This window comes from Homo sapiens, chromosome 1, assembly GCF_000001405.40.
Source record: "Homo sapiens chromosome 1, GRCh38.p14 Primary Assembly".
In the NCBI taxonomy this organism is placed as follows: Eukaryota; Metazoa; Chordata; class Mammalia; order Primates; family Hominidae; genus Homo; species Homo sapiens.
This window is the reverse complement of record NC_000001.11, coordinates 159,798,027-159,819,207: the sequence shown is the minus strand read 5'-3', so window position 1 is coordinate 159,819,207 and position 21,181 is coordinate 159,798,027. Positions and strand designations below refer to the sequence as shown.

The window sequence follows — 21,181 nt, the reverse complement described above, 5'->3', positions numbered from 1 at the left end:
TCCTAAGAAGAACAAATTATTCATTTAGTATTTCAAACACATGTAAGAAGGAAATGACAGGTTTCTTCCACCCACATGGGGGCTTTCACTGATAAGCTCACGGACAGTCCTGGCAGTACCATGGGCTGTTATTGTCATTGGACCATACTGTATTTAGCACTCACTAGAAATAGCATGCAGGTGATAGTATCAACAGCTATAGCACTACAGGTAAATGTTAAAAAAAATATATATATATATATATATATATATATATATATATATAACAGAAACAAAACCAACCTATAAACTCCAGGTTCACCTGGACTGTAACTTCTCTTGTGACTTTCACAGGAAAGGACAACAGCAACAACAACCAGACCTCTAGGGTGTTTAAAAAACTCAAATGATGCTGCATAGCCAGGCTCTGCTCAAAGATGCCAGTGCCATCTTGAACACACCACCATACAGTGTAACCACCTTCAATCACTGGAATTATGTCTTATGTAACCAACTAGCATGCGGCATTGCAATTTTACAATGATCATGTGGACAGTGGACAGTGGTCAATGTTGTCTTAAAAAAACACCCCCCTCAAAGACCACACAATCCTGAAAATCTCCCCACAGCACCTCTCAGACAGTAGTCATCAATATCCCAAGAACCAACCTTTAAGAACAAAATAGAAAGAGATTCAAAATGTTTTCCTATTCCTCTGAGAGAACAATGTTTCGGGGTAAACCTGGTTCCTGCTGGCATAACCACTTGACAACAGTGATGCTTTCATTCATTTCTTTTCCCTCTCCACCAACTGGCATTTGGACTGAGAAAGGGGCCAGCAATGAGAAATAACAGACAGTAAGGCAAAATTACAATGTGAGAAAATATACTTGGCTTTCTTTTTTTCTTTCTTTCTCTTTTTATTTTTTTTTTTTTTGAGACGGAGTCTCCCTCTGTCGCCCAGGCTGGAGTGCAGTGGTGTGATCTCGGCTCACTGAAAGCTCCGCCTCCCGGGTTCACGCCATTCTCCTGCCTCAGCCTCTGAGTAGCTGGGACTACAGGTGCCCGTCACCAAGCCCGGCTAATTTTTGTATTTTTAGTAGAGACAGGGTTTCACAGTGTTAGCCAGGATGGTCTCGATCTCCTGACCTTGTGATCCGCCCTCCTAGGCCTCCCAAAGTGCTGGGATTACAGGGCGTGAGCCACCGCACCCAGCCTTTTTTTTTTTTTTTCTTTTTAAAATAAGTGCATGCAAATACATCTGGAAGCATTTCTGACTTGCCAAGTGCTCTGAAAGGGCAGCAGATGCTCTTTCTTTTCAGGGTCAAGGTAAGCATATTCAAAGGGACTGAGGACCATAATAGAAGCGCACGGGCACATACACACATACAAAGTCACGCATGAGTCACTTAATGACAGGGACGCATTCTGAGAAATGCGTTGTCAGGAAATTTCATCACTGTACAAACATCATAGTGTGTACTTACACGAAGCCAGATGGTATAGCCTATTACACACCTAGGTTACATGGTACAGCCTATTCTTTTCATTTCTTTTCTTTTTTTTTCATTTTCTTTTTTTGGTATAGCCTATCGCTCCTAGGCTACAAACCTTAATATAGTAGGCAGCTATGACACAATGGTATTTTTGTAGTTAACATATCTAAACGCAGAAAAGGTAAAATGCAGTAAAAAACAATATAAAGATGAAAAAAATATACCTGTATAGGACATTTACTATGAATGGAGCTTGCAGGGCTGGGGTTGCTCTGGGTGAGTCAGTGAGTGAGTGGTGAGTGAATGTGAAGGCCTAGGACATTATTGTACACTACTGCAGGCTTTATCAACACTGCTTAGACTACACTAAATTCATGAAAGTATTTTCTTCAGGTCAGGCACAGTGGCTCATGGCTGTAATCCTAGTACTTTTGGGAGGCTGAGGAGGGCGGATCAGTTGAGGTCTGGGGTTCGAGACCAGCCTGGCCAACATGGCGAAACCCCATCTCTACTAAATATACAAAAATTAGTCAGGTGTGGTGGTGCATGCCTGTAATCCCAGCTACTCGGGAGGCTGAGGCAGGAGAATCGCTTGAACCCAGGAGGCAAAGATTGCAGTGACCTGAGATTGTACCATTGCACTCCAGCCTGGATGACAGAGTGAGACTCTGTCTCAAAAAAAAAAAAAAAAAAAAAAAAATTCTTCAGTGATAAATGAAACTTAGCTCAGTGTAACATTTTTACTTTATAAACTTTTTAGGTTTTTAAAACTTTTTGACTTCTGTAATAAACCTTAGCTTGAAACAAACACATTGTATAACTATACAAAATATTTTTATATAAGCTTTTTTCTATTTTTAAAATTATTATTTTTTTTTTACTTTTTAAACTTTTTTGTTAAAAACTAAGACATAAATAAACACACACATTAGCCTAGGTCTACACAGGGTCAGGATCATCAATATCACTGTCTTCCACCACCTCATCTTGTCCCGCTGGAAAGTCTTCAGAGGCAATAACACACATGGAGCTGTCATCTCCTATCATAACAAGGGCTCCTTCTGGATACTTCCTGAAGGACCTGCTTGAGGCTGTTTTATAGTTAACTTAAAAAAAATAAGTAGAAGGAATATATTCCAAAATAACAATAAAAAGTTACAGTAAATACAGGGCTGGGTGCGGTGGCTCACACCTGTAATCCCAGCACTTTGGGAGACCGAGGCGGGTGGATCACTTGAGGTCAGGAGTTCGAGACCAGTCTGGCCAACATGGTGAAACCCCATCTCTACTAACAAATACAAAAATTAGCCGGGCGTGGTGGTGCATGCCTGTAGTCCCAGCTACTCAGGACACTGAAGCAAGAGAATCGCTTGAACTCGGGAGGCAGAGGTTACAGTGAGCCGAGATTGTGCCATTGCACTCCAGACTGGGCGACAGAGCAAAACTCCGTCTCAAAAAGAAAAAGTTATAGTAAATACATAAACCAGTAACATAGTTGTTTATTATCATTATCAAGTATAGTGTACTGTACATAATTGTATGTGCTATATTTGTATATGACTAGCGGCGCTGTAGCTTGTTTGTACCAGCATCACCACAAACGCGTGAGAAATGTGTTGTGTTATGATGTTAAGGCAACTATGATATCACTAGGCAGTAGGAATTTTTAAACTCCATTACAGTCTTATGGGACCACTGTTGTGTATGCAGTCTATCACTGACTGAAATGTTGTTATGCGGCACATGACTATTTCATATATATATGTATATTGGGGCGAACTAACATGCTTGTATGGAAAGAAGACATCTGTGGCTTATGTGTCCAGTGTCACTGATTGAACCTAAGTGTGTGTGTTGGTGGGAGCATCTCCCTTCCCATTCCATTGGTTGGTCTTCTGCTAAGAAAAGAACCCAGGGTTCAGGTGCTCCTGACCAGGACAAGGGCTCAGGGGGCTCTGTGATGCTGGGCTTGGGAACTGAAGGACCCACAGAAAGAGTTGAGGACCCCACTGTCTTCCTGAGGAGCACTGGAGACTGGGGGTGGGCGTGTGTTGATAGGAGAACACCATCACTAGCAGAGAACCTCCTCACAGTCGCTAAGGGGTTCTTGGAGAGTCCTGCTTCTCATATTCACCTCCGTGGATGAAACCTCACTGGGCTGCAGGCATCTCACCTCCGCACAGATGATAGAACTGTCCTGTGGAAGAGTTGGCTCAGGATGAGGAAGCAAATGTAAGAGAGAGGGTGAGAAAGGAGCAGGGATCCCAGCTCACCTTTCTCCCCACGGTGAACTCAGCAGACCTGGCTGTGGGGAAAGAATGAGCTCAGGTCAGGTCTCTGTGCTCCACAGCAAGTACATCTCCTTCCCACCCCTCCTGGCTGGCTATCTTCCTCTAGAAAGCCAGGGAAGCCAGCCAGGGGAGATTCCTTTCACTCCTCCTCAACCTGGAATTGGGAGACCTGGGTTCTAGTTCCAGCTGGACTACACACCAGCTGTGTGACCTCAGGTCCTGGGGGAACTGCCCTTCAATTAAGAGACTCCTTGACTGTTCATTTCCCCTACTGCCATTTATGGGAAGGAGCAGAAACCCTACGCCAATTCAAACCCATTTTTGCAGATTAGGAACTGAATTAGCAGGGCAGATAAGACATTAAAACGACAGCAACAACAAAACTCCCTGTTTTGAACATCTATTACATGTAGACAATTTTTAAGGTTTGTTTCTAGAACCTAGGTTCTATTCCTAACAACTTACAGTAGTCCTGCAAAGCAGGCATTGTCTCCCCTTTGCAGATTAGGCCCAGAGAGGACACTTGACTTGCCAAGTCAACAGTGAATAAGTACATAGAGTCAGGTTTCAAACTCAGTTCTGAGACTCAGAAACCCACATTCTTCTCATGATGCCACATGGCCTATTTCTCTGTTAAAGGACCAGCCTTTCCCCCATCTCTGCCAACTGACTCTGATAGCTGTGGCTGGAGCCCATGGTCTTCTTGACTCCATCTTATAGTGGAGACTGTCCTGTTTAGACTTAGACTCTGGAGCAAAGGAAGACTACATCATTTTTTCTCTCTTTTCTTTGTCCTTCACATTGTTCAGGAAAGGGCAAAAAACTCCCTGCACTTATCATGGTAACAGTGTGGAGGAGATGATGTTGAGAATGGTGAATATAGTGGTCATAGTGGTGTTTGTGGTGAGCGTGGTAGTGGAGGAGATAGGTGGTGGTGGTCATGGTAGCATTGATGATGGTGTGAAGGTGAAGGTGGTAGTGAAGGAGGAGATGGTGGTGACAATAATGGAGATAAATATGATGGTCTTGGTGATAGTGATGGTGGTCACAGTAATGATAAAAGTGGTAATGACAGTGGTAGTGATACTCTCATTGTAGGTCCAAAACTTCTGTTTGCAAAGGTACCAAGTTTGGCCTGAGATCACTCACCTTCACTCCTCTTTGAGGTTCTATGCACCACAGAGTAGACAACACCTTCATCTTTCCCTTTCTGGTGATGCACTGGAAGAAGGAATGAGGCTTAAATAGGATCCTCCTGACTCTCCCACCTCATGTCATAAGTGTCCTGAAGACATGGAGAGAAGCCCATCAGGGGCTCTGTTATGGTGATAAGTGGCAATGAGGGTTGGTCACTAATGTGGGGATAGCCATCATGGCAAGGGGAGTCAGGCCCCCTTAACATTTTTTTTTTGCAGCTTCCCTAGCCCTGACACTGTTTAAACCAGAGGTTGACAAAATTTTTCTGTAAAAAAGGTGTACATATTTTTGGCTTTGTGAGCTGTATAATCTCTGTCACAAATGTTAACTCTGTAATATGAAAGCTCTCAAACAAAATAAACCAATGAGCATGTGTGTGTTACAGTAAAACTTTATCTACAAAAACAGGCAGTGTGCTGGGTTTGGCCCATGGGCCACAAGTTTGCCAACCCTTGGTCCAAACCTTCCCTGCCCCGTCTCCTGCAGCCCTGGCTCCCTTCCCACCCCCTTCTCCCACCACCAGCTCCACAGCACTCCCTCTTCATGCCCTTTCTAGAAGCTGTTTGTTTTCCTTCCCCAGATCACTCCAATTCCTGAGATACAGGGCTCTGGAGAGCTCCCTTCTTACTTCCCTTAAGAAGCTCTTTTTGGCCCACATGGGCACACCACCATCCTGCTGGAAGTCCTTACCGTTGGCATATAGTGGGCACTGCTCTCCACCTGGAGCTGTGGGTGGTATCTGGGATGGAAGGGGCCCTAGGAGATACAAGGGCATGATTCACTGGGTGTCCCTTAGAGGGCAGGTGGGACAGGGGACAGGAAAGCTGTGAGCAAGAATGACAAGGAGGCCGCTGGAGGTTTGAGGCTGGTTTGGTTAGGAGGGCTAGTTCACAGGTCTGGACATGGTTGATTTTTATGGGATGTTTCCTTTGAAAAATACCCTAGATGGCTCCATGGGAATCACAAACTAGGAGGAAGTAAGGTCAGCAAGAATGGATCACATTTTTGCATGAAGAGGGCCTAGGCTTACCAGTCAAGCTGCTTTTCAGAAGGAAAAAAGCTAATAACTTTGACCATACACTATATGCCAGACACTGGGCCAGGCAATCCAAATAAAATATAATCTTCCTAGTAAAGCACCTAACCAGTGACCAGCACATAGTTGGATTTCAAAAACACCTCTCTTCCTAATTCTTTGGCGTCTAATGGTTTTCACAACCATCTTGCAAAGGTTGATACTTTTATCTCCATTTCATAGATGAGGTGACTGGAGCTGGGAGAGGCGACTTCTATAAGGTCACAGTAAGTAGTGGAGACAGAATCTTAATCCAGGTTTGCATGCCTTTTCTCTACTAGCATGCTGCCTCTGGAACAGCAGGTGCTTCCAGAACTTTAAAGGTAACTCTTGGGATAGGAATTGAGTCACATGTAGATTTTAGAACACTTGGTTCATGCCTGGTGCCCAAGAAATACTCATTACTCTAAGAGCTAGAAAGCATCAGAATCACTGGGTAGGATATGTGGAAATGGCTCCTTCTGTAAAATCAAGAGGGGATTTATGGAGACTTAGACAGATCCCCAGTGATTAAGCATTCTCCAACGCTCATTCGTCAGGGCTGAGAAATGAGCCTCAGTTTCTAAGTCTCCATTCAATGAAGAGTTCCATGAGTTTGACAGAACTTTGTTTTACGGGATGTGTGACAACTGGTAGTAAAAGGAACACTTTTAAACAAGCACAGCAGAACCTGTACATGCAGGTGAGTGCTACTTTGAAGTGGACCCCTTGCATGACCATATCCTTGTTCCAGTAACACCATCATTGGTCAAATGTTCTAAAAATTGACTTTGGACATGACATCTGTAGACTGTCTTTGGCGGTGGCATATTTCTGTTTGCTGAAGAACAGCTATGCTATTTGGAAATGGTTGTGAGTCTCCCAGAGCTGGGTGTGGAGAACAAGGCTATTGATCTGGCTGTTTTTCCTGCGTAGCTAAGGAATTGGTCCTGAAAGTGACTTTCTGAGCAATATTCTAAAGAATATTTTGTGCGCCTGAGATTCTGAGATATTAAGATCACCACCAGCAGTCCTGTTTGCATGAGAGACAGGTTCCTTAGTAAAATGAAGCCCACCTGCTCCAAGGTTGGCAGTGGGTGTGGTGGTGATGGTTTATAATCTCTACATCAAGAGGATGCTCTTTTGTTCCCTGTGAAAGGTATCTTGTTCTTGAGGATCTTTCACTAGTGACCACTCTTTCACCATCTCGTCTGGGGCTGGGGAGGGAGGCAGTTGTGCTACATTACTCTGCCATTGCTCTGCATTTAATGCTTTGACTCAGAGGTGAGTGGACAGAAACAGAAACACCTGTATTACCGAGGCCAGGCTGGGCCCTTTGGAGGAGGATTTATTAGACACAATGACAGCATAACTCACAGATCTTTGGTTTGTGGTTCCCTACTCCGGCTGCCTCCCCAATAGCTCTGGGCATCCTCTCCTTTTCCCCCACTATGAAAGAATACCTTAAAGCAAGTCTAGCCTGTATTGAATCCAGACTCAAGACTAGTGAGAAGGGTGGGGATGGGAAGTTGTATGGACAAAGACTACATATTCAAAAGGGGAGAGGAAGTTGAAGTCTGGTCCAAGCCTTAACTAGGCACCTGGTGAGGCAGAGTGTTGGGACTAGGGGTGGGAAGAGACCTTTTCAGGTACCCTGGTGGATGCAGGAAGGAATGCTTTGAACATATGACTGGGTGGTCTTCCTTAATTATCAGGCTGGTCCAGCTCCTAGAAAACTCATCCCAAATTTCTCAACAGAGGGAGCTGCAAACTTAAATAAGTACATCTAGCTTTGGAGGTCTATGAGAACAATCACTTTTGTCCTAGACAAGCAGAAAATAACATTGCCCCTGCAGAGGAGGAAGTGGGGTTGATTTGAACCTCTGTAGGTGGATTTGAAGCACTAGGAATCATAGCTTTGGCACTGGTAGCCATTCCTTATATGTGTGTGGCCTGAGGCGAGCAAAGGTTAGAGTTGGAATAAATGCGTGGCCCCCCAAACTAATTGCTTTGAGAGCCAACATTCATTCTTAATTATCACGACTGTGACAGGAAGAAGAAAGTCTGGAATATCAAAATAAATAGATAACTTGAAATGTCGTTTATCTGATTGTTTTCCTCTACATCAGAATTTTAACCAACCTTTTTATTTTCAGTGATTTTGATTAGAAGCATTAGAGAATGCACAGAGGAGAAAGGGCAGCCTGGGAACCTGCTGGGGTGATCTTCTCAGATTAGAATGAGAATTTACTGAGCACCCACTATGTGCCAGTCTAATACATGAGGTATTAGATAAATGTTATCTCATTAACTTAAACCCTTACAGCATCCCTGGAAAGGAAGCTGATTTAGTGAGTCTTACAGTGAACTGGCTCAAGGCTATGGAACTAATGGTAGTGTTGGGAACAGGCCATTGCTCAGTCTTGTCTATCATATTTCCTTTCTGATAGTTAATATCCTTTGCACACTCTGCTACAGTAAAGTACTGTACAAGATGAGTGTGTGTGAGTGAGCCTATGCATACACACTGTAGTTCTGTCTTCTTTCTCCTCTGCTAAGCAGATCAGAGCTCTGCTGAGCTCAATGAGAGAGAGAGGTGGAGGCCTTTTTTTTTTTGCTCATATTCCTAGCCACAGATTGTCTTCCAAATGTAAAGGATACTGACATACCTCACGTTTGGCTTGTAATAATTCCTTGGTTTATGTTCTAATCATGCCTGAGTGTGCGGTTGTGTGTTTGTGTGCATCTCTGGATGACTGTGAGCATGTGAGCAAGTGCATGTGTGTATATGTTTTGGAAGCATTAACTGTCCTTCCATGTGCCCCTTTGTGTGACACAGGAAGAGAAGTCCCCCCTGCCACTCCACACCCAGGAGAAGAGAGTGGCTGGTCCTGTCAGACTCTGGCTTTCCAAAGTCTGGGCAGGGCCTGGCACAGGGATTCAGCAGCTAAGAAAGCCAAGAGGAGTTACTGACCAGCTTTTCTCCAGGATCTCACATAAACCAGAAGTGCAGCAGCAATAACCATCAGGCCAAGCAGGCTCGCAGGAAGCCAAGGAACCAGCCAGTTGCTGGCGGGAGTGAACAAGACTTGAGAACCTGGGAGCAGGGAGAAGAAGGTGGCCATGAGCACTGAAGATAAAATTCGGAAATGCATTCTAGCCTGGCACAGAACAGGCAGAATGACTGATATTAGGGGAACCGTCTGGCCTGGGGGAGCCTCATAGATGGGCATGAAGGATGGCTCAGGGGATGGCAGCAAGGATGATGGTGACACCACGAGTGACCACGTGACTGCTCCCCCCGTGAGGCTCCCCACTCTCCATGGACTTCAATATTTCTCTGCCAGGCTCAGTGGACAGATGGACTAATTAGGGTCCATGCTCAGTCATGCAGTGGCTGCCATGAGTCCAGCACTGTGCCAGTCGTGATGGGAGGTACACAGAGGGTGAGATCTGACCCCTGCCAGCTTGCTGGGGCTCAAAGCTCTGTTGGAGAACAAAACACACCCTTCAGAGACAGCTTCTTGGGCTCACTCCTCTCTCTGGAGACACTGTTCTCAGCCTCGCAGGAGTAGTTCCCAGCATCCTGTTCTGACTTCACTGGGAAGAGGAGGGAGGTGGTTCCACCACAGGGAGCTGAGTGGTTCCCCACAATCTTCTCATCAAGGTAGAAGGAATACAGGATCGGAGGGGAGCCCCTCTGTGCCTCACAGAGGAGCTGCACCATGTCCCCCACAGCAGGGTCAGCAGGCCCGTGGTGCAGAGTGAGCACAGGACGGGATACAGGAGCTGGGACACACATGGGGTGGGAGGCTCAGCCTGACCACCCAGGACCCTGGCTCCCTCCTCTCCTGGGGACCCTTCCCCCAACTCCTTTAGTCCCAGGGGATCCCACTGCCTGACGCCCAGGGCCCTGGGGGCATCTCCACTCTCTCGCGCACTTACCCTGCACTCTGACCTCCAGCTGGGGGCTCTGCTTCTGGACCTGGCCACCCTCAGGGGCCACCTCACACCAGTAAAGCCCAGAGTCTCCCTCCTTGGCTCCCGGGATGCAGAGTTCTGGGTGAGGGCCCCTGTCCTGCAAGGTGTGGCCGTCCTTGTGGAAGGAGAAAAGGAGCCTCAAGGCTGACCTCAGGGGGTGCAGCTTTGTCTGACATCTCAGGGTCACCAGGCTACCCTCTCGGGGCTCAGGAGAGGGGATGGCACTCAGCACAGGAGGTGGAAACAGCTCTGGGGAGATGCAGGCCCAGGACTCAGGAGGGGAGTCCTGGATGATGAAGCCCCAGGAGGCTGAGGCCTGAGCTTCTACTCATCTCAGGCTGCAGCCCGGGGACCCCGATGGGAGGCAGTTTCATCCCTAGGACCCGTCCTCTTACCCTCACCCACAAACTCTGAAATGACTCCCACATAGCCAGGCCCTTCTGGAATCTTGGAAGTCAGAGGCAGAGGGGGCCTTCGAAGTCCTCTAGTCCATAGAGGGGAAGGGTGAGCCTGGACTGGTCCAGGGTCTTCCCAGTGCCCCCTTCCCAAGAATCTCCCCCCTCCTTCCCCTGGCTACATGTGTCCCCCATGGTGGGGAGAGGGGGGTATTGAGACAACATCTTGGGAAACCTCGGGGCCCCACACATTGGCCCAGCATGAGGGGCAGCCAGAGACAGGGGTCCAGCCCAGAGAGCTACTGACCTCTAGAAACGGGACCCTTGAGCAGCACCTCCTGCCCCACAAACTCCCAAGCTGGTGACTCACCTTGGACTTGAACCATGGCAGTCTCTGAAGTTTGTGTGAATGTCTGTGGAATATACATCACCTGCCCAGAGCAGCTGTACTGGCCACGGCTCTGCACTGTTGCTGCTCCCATGGACAGAGTCTGGTTTTCCTTAGAGAAATGAAGGAATTTTCCATCTCTGTAGAACTTCACCTGAGACAGTGGTGTATTCTTCCATCCCTGACATCGCAGAGTCAGGGCATCTCCTTCAAACACAGGGTTTGGCCAGGCTTGGAGGTACAGCCAGACTGCGAGACAGAGGAACAGGGCAGCCCTGGAGCTACAGGTCCCATCAGTCACTTCTCTCCCTCTGTCCCCCAGCCTAAGGCCTCCTGCTGGGGATGGAGGCCCTTGGATGGCACTGGTATGGTGTCACTGTCTCCAGTCCTTCATGCCGACCAGAGAAGGGCAGGACCTGGACTTCCTTTACTCCTCCTTCCTTTCCTTCTTCTCTCCTTCCTCTTCCCTCTTTCTCTTTATTCCTTTCCCTTCCCCTCCCCTTCTTTCCTCTCCCTGTGTCTTCTCTCTGGCTTTCCTCCCACCCACCCTCCTTGTCTTCTTTTATATTGCACTTTCCTGTCTGCCTTGCCAAGCTTGGCTTAATTGCATTCATTCTGTTCATTGTCTTGCCTCATTCCTCCTGACTCAATTCCCTCCAGCCTAGATTGGCTTCTCCTCCTGTGGCTACCTAATGTGACACTTTCTGCAGCCTTCACTTCTGATAATAGCAGCATCTGTGTCCACCAGAAAGCAGCTGGTGGGGCATGTTGGAGGTGCCACAGCCTGAGTTCTCTCCCTCCTGTCTTCCTCATTGGGCTTCCTTAGGCCCAGCCTCCATCTCTACCCTCAGCAGGGCGTTTCATCTTCCACCACTCTTATGGAAGGGATCTGTTCTCTCTGTCTCTATTCCTAAAATGTATTCTGTGCACTGATGTGAGCAGGAGAAGAGCTCCCAGGGATCCACCATCACCTGCAGGGCAGGCTGAGCCTGTCCCCAGTCTGTATCTGTCCCCAGCCTGTATCTGTCCCCAGCCTGTATCATCTCTTTGATAAGCCAGACACCCCCATTCCCAGACAGCCTTCTGAGCAGGCCTGATGGCCTGAGACTAATGAGGAGTAACAGTTAGGGAGCCCCAGCACATCCTGCTCTTGCCTGGATCTTCTGGATCCTTAGGACCCACTCTCCTCACCCTGGAAGTAACGATGCTCACCGCATTACCGAACAGCAGGTCTTGCTTCCACTACTGCTTTTTCTAACAGCACTAAGTATTGGTTTGAATTATCTCCCCCTGGAATCACAGAATATGTCCTTGGAGGTCAAGATTTCATAGATCAGAATTTTTTCCTGTTTGACAGAAAGCTCCATGGAGGTCAGTGTCACAGAATGGGCTGGAGGGAAGGGGATCTGAGGAAGGAAGGAAGACTGATCAGCAGAAAAAGGTGCCTGCTGCTTCTCTGAACATAAAAGGAAGGAAGGGAGTCCCAGTCTTGTTGAGTTGAGAATATAAGAGCTCCAGAACCACTTGAAGAGAAGACAGAGGCCACAGACACTTTTAAGGGTATAAGATAGAGGCCTAGAGTCCCACTGCTGAGGCTTGTGTCACCCTAGGACTACCCTTGGCCTTAGACTAGTGGAGTTCCAAGTTCCTCCTTTTCCTAGGAACTGGCCAAGACTCCTGAGGAAGGGGCCTAGTCTGGTGCTGCTCTGCAGATGTTTCTGGGGGACCCCATGGCACTGTCCTGTTCCCATCCAGTAAGTTTTGGCCCATAGACATACTTTGAATTAGAAGAGACATGGACACAACTTACCAGTTTTCCCAACACAGGGAACTGCAAGAGAACAAAGTAACACAATTAGGTTAAGTAGCAAAAAGAGCTTTCTGACAAGGAGGCCTGTCACTTCAGCAATGGGGACTTACACCCATTCAACCAACCACCCGGCCACCAAACCTCCTAGCCACCCATCCACACAGCCATCCAACCATCCAACCACATAACCACTCAACCACCAAACAACCCAGCCATCAGCCATCCAACCACCCAACCATCCAACCATCCAACCACCCAACCACCCAACCACCCGGCCACTTGACTACTCAACGTTTGTGCTGGACGTACTCCCTAGAACTCTTTGCCCTATCACAGTTCAAATGTTGCCTTCTCAAACAGGTCTTCCCTGGGACTCCAATCAAAAGAATTTTCCCCAATCACTAAAACAATGCCCCATTGTATTATCTTCAAAACACTTATCACTATTTGAATTTATCTTATTCATTAAATTGCCTACATGTTATCACCTCTCTCTCTGGCTAGAATATAAGCTCCATAGTAGCAGGGACTCTGCTTATTTTACTCATTGCTATATTTTCTATGCCCAAGACCTGTGCCTGGAACATAGTCTGTGTTCAGTAAGCATCTGCTGAATAAATGCATGAATGTTTTCCTTTGCATCCCATTGTACGAGGTGGGAAGCAAAAAGTAGAAAACATAGGACTAGACTCTTGTACGAATGTGCCTGAGGGTCCTACCTCCAACATCTACAGGAGAACCCATATAGCAAGGGCAGGACCTGATTCTTGTGGTCCCATCTCTCCACAGAGCTCTGGCAAAAAGGGTATGGAAGTGACCAGACTGAGGAGGATAAGTCCCCTGAAAGAGTAATCATTAAAGGATGTGAGACATTATCAGGCAGCATGGATGAATGAGAGAACTACAAACAAACTGGATGCATCCCACATCATGCTTGCATCTTGGATGTGCTACATTCATGTTTTTAAATGAGTGAATGTGTGAGAACAGGTGACCTGGGAAGAGGGGCCAACTCACAAAATGATGACAGATATGGTTAGATAGGTTTGAATAGCCCAAACAATGGAAGACCTGAAATTGAAGGTCATAGCTGGATATGAAGCAGTGAAGAATCTTCTGGACTTTGGGGCAAGGTGTGAAACAATGAATGAATGTAGGGCTGAGTGCAGTCAGTCCAGCCAATCCTCATACATTTACTTGTGTCCTGCATTGCTGGCATGTCCTAGGTATTTTACATAACACCAAAAAAAAAATGCAAGAATGGCCTTGGGAAGGGTGGGTGAAAACCCTCTAAGAGCAGATGTTTGGCTCTGTCACATGGTATCATCTTTGCTTTCTACACTACTTTGGACACAGGTGGAATCTTTCAGCTCAATTCTCTATTCAGCTCAGGGTCAGCTCAGTCATATGCTCTCAAGAGTGTGCAGAACAATGAGTCTCTTCTTTATCATCCCTCCATCTCCACCCCTAACCCCCATCTATGAGCTCGGTGTAGTGGAAAGCATGCAGGATTTGGAATCAGATGACCTGGACTTGAGTCATGAATTTGCCTCTTTCTGTACGACCTTGAACAAGTTGTCTAAGTTCCAAGAGCCTTCAATATCTCATTCTGTCATATCACATAATAGAAATGATAATAGTCATTTTTTTCTTACAGTGTAGTTGTGAAGGTTATGTTGACCCACTGCCTGGGAAAGTGGTTACTACATTAACTGAAAGCAGAAAGAAGGCCTGACCTCAGAGTGACAGAGACCTTACTCTGTAGTTATGTCTTCCTTCCCTTCCCCACCTCACTGGAAAACAATTGTGCAGCTACAAAGTGCTAAACAAACAGGGTTGAGACTACTGAAGCCAAAAACAAGACAGAAGGCACTCAGGAAGCATAGATGCACTTAAAATGAGCTCCTGTCCCCAAATCTCAATGACTTGCTCCCCATGGTACTGCAAGATCTTGGAGGTGGGATTACAAAATTGGTTTCTGCAATCAAAACAGCAGCCAACTGGGAACATACACAGGGGGTGACACCTGCTTACAGCAGTTCCTGCAATGAGGGCCCAGGGACCTCCATTAGCTATAGGCTGAAGATGAGGTGACAGTATCATGAAGTGGCCAAGAGCTATGGTCAAACCAAGTTGCGTAATAGAATTCCGAAAAATGAAGGCAGGAGCCCCTGCCAACTCTAGGAGCAGGATAATTTCCTCTTAAAGTTTCTGAGGGATCGGGAGATATTTATCTGGGAAAGATGCAACAGAGGAAAGACACAAAATACTTGGTGGGCTAAGCTTAAAAGAAGGGGGAGACTTATTCTGAGTTACTTTATAGGACAGAAATGGAAACTAGAGGGATCATGGAGGCAGATTTCGGCTCAACATGAAGAACTCTCTCACCACTGAGCTCTAGCACTGTGGAACAGGCTGCAGTGCCAAGCTGCAGCAGTCACATTGCTGGGAGGGCTGTATGGGACCCCATGACACCTCCTATGGACGCTGTGTGAGAATGCGGGGAGCAGCCTCCAGTGGTAGGAGGGAAGTTGGCTAATGTTCAGCTCAGAAGAAAATTAAGCCTAATTTCCCAAACTTTAAATACATATTTCACATTCAGCCAGGTCCCCACATGCTCAATGTCAGGATTCCTTTCCTCCCGGAGCCCTGACAGCCAATAATAGTAATAGCCACCAATTTATTATGACCACACCCTGCTCTTGAGAGAGGAAATAGCAGCTCTACACTTATGGTAAGATAAATGTTGCTACACACCCAGCCCCAGTGTCTGTGTTTTAGGCTGTTTTTCCAGGGTCCCTGAGCATCAAGTGGGACCAAATTTGCTGGTGCTGGATTCTCCATTACACTGTGCACCAGTCAGCCGGTCACTGATTCCCTTCCTCTCCTCATTTGCTGTCTGTCATCCTCGTCCTGGGTTCCAAGCTGGAACACTCTCAGACTGTATCTAGACAAGTCCAAGGGCTGTTCCTTTTACAAGGTAGTGCCGGTAGTGCCATTTGCCCCTGGGAGTCTTCTGCCTGGAGTATATCCAGGCATTAGGCTATCCTGTCCCCGCCTCAGTGTGAGCATTAGACCTTTTCATTTGTCCAAATGGCCATTCATAGAACACACGAGTAGCATGCTATGCTGGAGAAGGAACATTGAGTGGAAGGGGCATTTTCCTCACAGGGTCAAATTCTCACAAACTCTGTCCAGGAAGAGGTTATATTTAGGAACAGTTTTGCTTTTCTAGTTCAAGGAATACAAATAGCAAGCAAGCTATTGGGACCAAGAATTAAACAAAAAGTAGGTCCACTTGGAAACTGTAAAGTGAAACAAAATATATGCCAAATTATTTCTTTTAGGTATAAGGGGGGTGACACTGGCTGAGACTGAGCTGGGTCTGGGGGAGCCCAGTGACCCTCTGCGTGCAATCCTCTACCCTTAGACCAGCTCTCTTAGTTACAAGTAGCCTGCATGAGAAGAAATGGAGAGAAGAGAGAGAGAGACATGGATCAGACAATGGAGTTGATTCTTCAAACCAGCCCCATGGATCTGAAACAGCTCCCAACAGAGAGAAGATGTAGGCGGAAGAGAGACAGTCAATTTGAAAAGGGCTTTGGTTACTCAGAGCACAGGCCTTTCAACCAGGTGAGAGGTCTGGCCATTGTTACCTGGTTCTAAGAAAATGCTGAGGCTCCATAAAAATATGTCACCCTGTAAAATTCCACCTCCCATTGCTGAGCAAAATGCCTGGGACTGTTTCCCCTCATTTCCCTGACTCCTTCCCTGTTGCCCCCAGCAGCCTCCTTCCCTCCTGCAACCTCCATTTCCTTTTGAGACAGCTCTGATTAGTATTTTAACCTGATGTCACAAGGTAGAAATGTCATTGGGAAGTTAGGGGACTTTGTAATGTGATTTTCTGCCTCCCTAATTTATCTCTGACATATCAAAGGGCTGCGCTGCCAAGGACCCAGGACTACGGGGTAGGAAACACTGAGGAGTTTCTCCTACCCCAGTGCCCATCTCTCCCAAGCATGCCCAGGTGCACACACCTGTCTTGAGCTCCAGCCACAAACCCACTGGAATTGGGAAAGGTAAGATGAGGAACTTGGTGTCTCAGGGATGACTTACGGTCCTTAGTGCTCCAAGAGGGGATGCCCATGCTCGTTGACTTACCAAAGAGCAGCACAGCCGTCCAGAGCAGCATGGGGCCTGTTCTGGCACAGCGGAGGGAACACAGGTCAGAAACAGGTCAGGGCGAAGCCGGCAGAGAGCAACCAGGCCTCAGGACCGAAGGTGGGTGGGTGGCCTGAGCTGGGTGGTGCTATAGCTTGATAGCCAAAATAGGAAGTGGAAAAGAAACTTACAAAGCTCTAATTGATATTTCCTCTTTGGTTGAAGAAGTATTACATGAATAAATTTTCCTGAACACTAAGTATGAAGGAGTCGGTAAATCACTAATAAATCCCTGACATTTTCTGCAGCTTCAACAAGCCTATGCCAGGGAACTAGGATGGAACATGGTTATGGGACACCTCCATTAGAAAGGTCCAGAGACTGCCCGAATTTGCTTGGCTTCAGCGTCATTCAGCCTGGGAGACAGCGCAGCACTGTAAAACTAAGATCATCTACCCCTTGACCACCGAGTGACCTCCCAGCTTCCAAGGAGCTCCTGTCTCCAGAGGTAAATGTGTGTGGATGCTGCAATGCGATGGAGAAGTGGAGCCCTGAGGATGCTTCACAGGATCCTCAGTTCAGGAGGGAATCAGACATCGATGAGTCTGGAGTAGAACACAGATGGAGCTTCGGCATCTGAGGCTTTTAAGACTGTCAGTATGATTTTGAGAACTATTCCTTAAAAGACACCATTAAGAGAAGGAACAGGCAAGCTGTGGTGTGATGAGATAGTTTAAATACATGTAGCTGACAAAGGGCCCACAGAAGAAATATAAGAATTTCTGCAAGTCAGTAAGAAAAGGACAGACAACATACTAGAAAAATGGGCAAAAATAATTGGATAGGTACTTCACAGAAGCAGATATCCACGTGTCAAATCAACATAGCAAAAGGAGCTAGACATCATAAATCACCGTGGAAATGCAAATTTAAACCATAATAAGATACCACTACACCTTCCATAAGAATAAGGGAGTGATACCAGCTGAGACTGAGCTGGGTCTGGGGGAGCCCGTGACCCTCCCCATGCAATCCTCTACTGAGTATTGGTGAGGATGTGAAGAAACTAGAACTCTTGTACACCACTAGTGGGAATATAAATTGGTACAGTCACTAGAAAATGGCTTGGCAGAATCTACCAAAACTAAACACAGGGATCCCTGATGGCTCAGCATTTTCACTCCTGGGTAAATGTCAAACAGAAATGTATACATATAAGCCTGAAAAAACATATACAAGAGTGCTCATAGCAGCATCATTTGTAATAGATAAAAACTGGAAATTATTCAATGTTCCCTCAACAGAAAAAGAGGTCACACATTCTCATCTCCTCTGTGGACAGAACATGGGAGTTCACGGTGAAACACAGAGTCAGGCAAAATACTAGGAAGCATTTTCATTTTCTTGTTTCTTTTCTTTCTTTTTTCTTTTTTTTATTGAGAAGGAGTCTTGCTCTGTTGCCCAGGCTGGAGTGTAATCTTGGCTCACTGCAACCTCCGCCTCCCAGGTTCAAGTGATTTTCCTGCCTCAGCCTCCCATGTAGCTGGGATTACAGGCATGCACCACCATGCCTGGCTAAGCATTTTCTGACAGTAAAGTTCTTCCTGGAAATCTTTAAGTGAGAAGTTCTACATAGTCTGATGGAATTTGATGTGCCTATTGCTGAGGCCAGGAATGGACAGAGAGAATTTTCTAAGTTTTCTTGCCCTAGATTGTCTGACTCAGTGGAAGTGGGAAACTAATTTGACACTGCCAGGCATTTTTTTCGGTGACTCAGTTGTTTAGGAAAGAGGGAAAAGTAGTGAGGAAGTAAAGTAGGAAGTAGAAATCTTGTCCACTCACCTAAAGATGGCAACATTCATATATTTTCCTCTATCGTTCTCTTTCCAACAGATCTCCTGAGTTGTCTTCAACTTCGTTCAGCTGCAGGTCCTGTGGGTGTGTGGAGTCCCTGCAGGGCAGCAGCTGGGGCAGGAGACAGAGGGGATAACCGCAAGTGGTCTAGCTTGCAAACATTTGTGGTTTGCACACAGAACGGATGAAGCCTCTGCCCTGGCAACTTCTACCGGGTTCTAGCGGCATGAGAGTGTGAACTGCATCTGACTTTTCGCACTTCCCCTGCAGAGTGAGATGCTGTTGCACCTTCAAAGGTGTTGGTGAGCTGAGCCTGAGCTGAGCTGGCTGCATGTTGTTCCCTTGGGGATGAAGGTGACCCTCAGGGAACAGCAACAGGGCTGCTGCCCAGGTTTGGAATCTTCCAGGACTCAGGCTGACCTTGAACTGAGAATGGGATGGGTTAGTGGAGATATTAAAACCCATGATACTAACACTAATACTCTAAGGGAATTCAGGGGCTAAAAGGAGGTGGGATGAAAATAGAGTGTGGATCCTCATCCAGAAGAGGCTCCAGGCCCAGGTGCTCTCATCACTCAAAGAGTCAGTTGTCAGGGCGGCAGTAGTCAGGGACAATGGCCTTTGGGGAACAGGATAAGTCATTCCAGTTCCGGAGGCGAGACGGGAGAGCAAGAGAGCTTGGGGTAGGGGACAGCTCTGCATGGTAGGCCCTAGAGCCAAATATCTGAGCTTGAATCCTCACTCTGGATATGAATCTGGTGAGAGACCTTGGGTAAGTTTTTTAACCAGTCTGTGTCTCAGGGTCCTTATCTCTAAAGTGGATACATAATTACACCTGCATCATAGGGTTGCTATGAAGGTTAAACAAGATTAAAAACATAAGATGCTCTCAGACAGCAAGATCTAATAGAACTTTCAGTGATGATGAAATGTTTTCTGGGCTATCCAGTTCAGTGGCCACAGAGAGCTATTAAGCACTTGAAATTGACTCATGACACAGAGAAACTGAAGTTTTAATTGTTTTTACTTTAGTTGAAATTTAAAAAATTTAAGCAGCTACATGTGACAAGTGTCTGCCTTCTTGGATATTGCAGGCTTAGACCAATGCCTAGCAAGTAGGAAGTGTTCGGTGAAGGTGAGCTATTGTAAGCAGTGTGGGTCAGGAAGACTTAAAGACCAGACCCTTCCTCCCAACCTTAGTGTTTTTGGTGAGTCCCAGAAAGATGAAGTAATTTGTACAAAGGCACTCAGCCAGAAAGCCTGTTGGGGTTGGAGTCTCATCCACAGCTGGAACTACAGGCCTAACGAGAAACCTAAGACCATTTCTGAGTTACATCTGAAAGACAGAACACATTGGAGAAACATATCAAAAGCCTAGAACTTAGGACAGGAGTGGAAATGACCAGGAGTAGGGTGAAAATGGAGCCAGCCTGGGCATGAAGCTCTGGGTCTGGCCTACAGAGGGCAGAAAACGCTATGGAGCATCTGGTCACCACCCTCATTCCCTCTCTCCATTCTAACCCCTTCCTTCCAGAAAGCTTCTGGAGAGAGCATGGCAGCACCAATGGAAAAAAGCTTCATTTGTGTCAGATCTGAGCGACCTCTTGTGGCCACATGAACCACACTTGCCCTAAGGAGGGAATCTTTATTCATACTGAACTCTTATTCTCTGTGTACCCACCCATCCATCCATCCAGGTATTTGTATTTCTTTTTAGCCCTTGCTGTATGTCCAGTCCACCCCTGCCTCCATGAGTTCAGGAATTGACGGGCCTATACTGGGGTATAGTCTTCGTGGTTCCTAAAGCATTTTCCCCCGTGTCTCCATTATTCTATTTATCACACTGTGTTATGTTTATTTTAGTGTCTCTCTACACTTTTAGCATATGACCTCTTCAAAGGCATCATCTTTGCGTCTCCAGGCCTAGCACCTAAGTATAATTGTTAGGCGTTTTGGAGTCAGAAAAATATAGGTTATAGTCCTGGCTATGCAGCTTACTAGGCAAGGAACCTGGGGCAGTGACTTAATCTCACTAAGCTTCAGGTTTTAAATTTGTAACACAGTAATAATGACATCCAATTTCTAGTATTGTGGAGAGAATTACACTTTTGCACACATGGTATCTTGTACATTTGACCCTCCACCTGAAATTGGATTCTTTTCTGACTTCTGAGGAGCCTTATACCACCAATGCTATACTACCCTTTTCTCTCTCATGAATTCAGTCCTCCCAGCTCAACCGAATTTTTTCCATAGATGCTTCTGAAAGATGCTAAGATCTTAAAAACTCTTCTAACCAAACCAAACCAAGCCAGCAAGCTCACCTTGATTCCACACCCCCTGGGAGCCCCAATTCACAGCCACTCTAGTTGAGAAAGTGGTCTATGGTAGACCTTACAAGTTGGTATTCCGAGACACATTGGTGTATCTCAAATGGCTATAGGTGTTATAAAATATTGATTTCCTTGGCCCTCAGATCATCTGTGTGGGGCCACACTTCCAGCTGGGGGCAGCCTTGTGCAGCTGGCCAATGTCCACTGAGCTATAATTTTCTATATGTTCCACAAAGCAAAAG

The 21,181-nt window shown here is 46.5% G+C and overlaps 1 protein-coding gene and 1 long non-coding RNA gene across 8 annotated transcripts, besides 1 other annotated feature; one reads left to right on the top strand and one right to left on the bottom strand.

Annotated features, from left to right (window-relative positions):
- Positions 1-2,950: 2,950 nt before the first annotated feature.
- FCRL6 (Fc receptor like 6) lies at positions 2,951-18,696 on the bottom strand. 6 transcript variants are annotated; one of them, NM_001426231.1, is made up of 11 exons: positions 18,595-18,696; positions 16,753-16,793; positions 12,592-12,612; positions 10,764-11,030; positions 9,963-10,247; positions 9,525-9,806; positions 8,992-9,114; positions 5,654-5,719; positions 4,916-4,987; positions 3,749-3,780; positions 2,951-3,672 (listed from the first exon to the last, which is right to left on the bottom strand). In NM_001426231.1, the coding sequence occupies exons 1-11, from the start codon at positions 18,612-18,614 to the stop codon at positions 3,547-3,549; spliced, it is 1,335 nt and encodes a 444-aa protein (NP_001413160.1). In that variant the 5' UTR covers positions 18,615-18,696; the 3' UTR covers positions 2,951-3,546. The 6 variants fall into 6 exon arrangements, with proteins under 6 accessions (NP_001413160.1, NP_001413161.1, NP_001271146.1 ...); NM_001426232.1 differs by having other exon boundaries at positions 16,753-16,788; NM_001284217.2 differs by having other exon boundaries at positions 2,951-3,667; positions 16,753-16,788.
- Positions 12,178-18,727, top strand: LOC105371464 (uncharacterized). 2 transcript variants are annotated; one of them, XR_007066676.1, is made up of 4 exons: positions 12,178-16,224; positions 16,529-16,670; positions 17,061-17,260; positions 18,646-18,727. It is a non-coding gene; the product is annotated as an uncharacterized LOC105371464 (long non-coding RNA). The 2 variants fall into 2 exon arrangements; XR_922195.2 differs by having other exon boundaries at positions 12,178-16,670.
- Positions 20,015-20,309: an enhancer, noted in NCBI's record as "tiled region #9392; K562 Activating DNase unmatched - State 12:CtcfO". NCBI's record gives its function as "activates a minimal TATA promoter and a strong SV40 promoter by Sharpr-MPRA in K562 cells {active_cell/tissue: K562}" and the evidence as "EXISTENCE:reporter gene assay evidence [ECO:0000049][PMID:27701403]".

What these genes read in the sequence shown, in the direction of transcription:
- FCRL6 (NM_001426231.1), bottom strand. Translation starts at nt 18,614, where the DNA reads ATGAATGTTGCCATCTTTAG. An exon ending in GAGATCCTGGAGAAAAGCTG is followed by an intron (nt 5,720 to 8,991) that starts GTCAGTAACTCC and finishes TGTATCTCCTAG; the next exon opens with GGCCCCTTCCATCCCAGATA. An exon ending in AGTTCACCGTGGGGAGAAAG is followed by an intron (nt 3,673 to 3,748) that starts GTGAGCTGGGAT and finishes ACTCTTCCACAG; the next exon opens with GACAGTTCTATCATCTGTGC.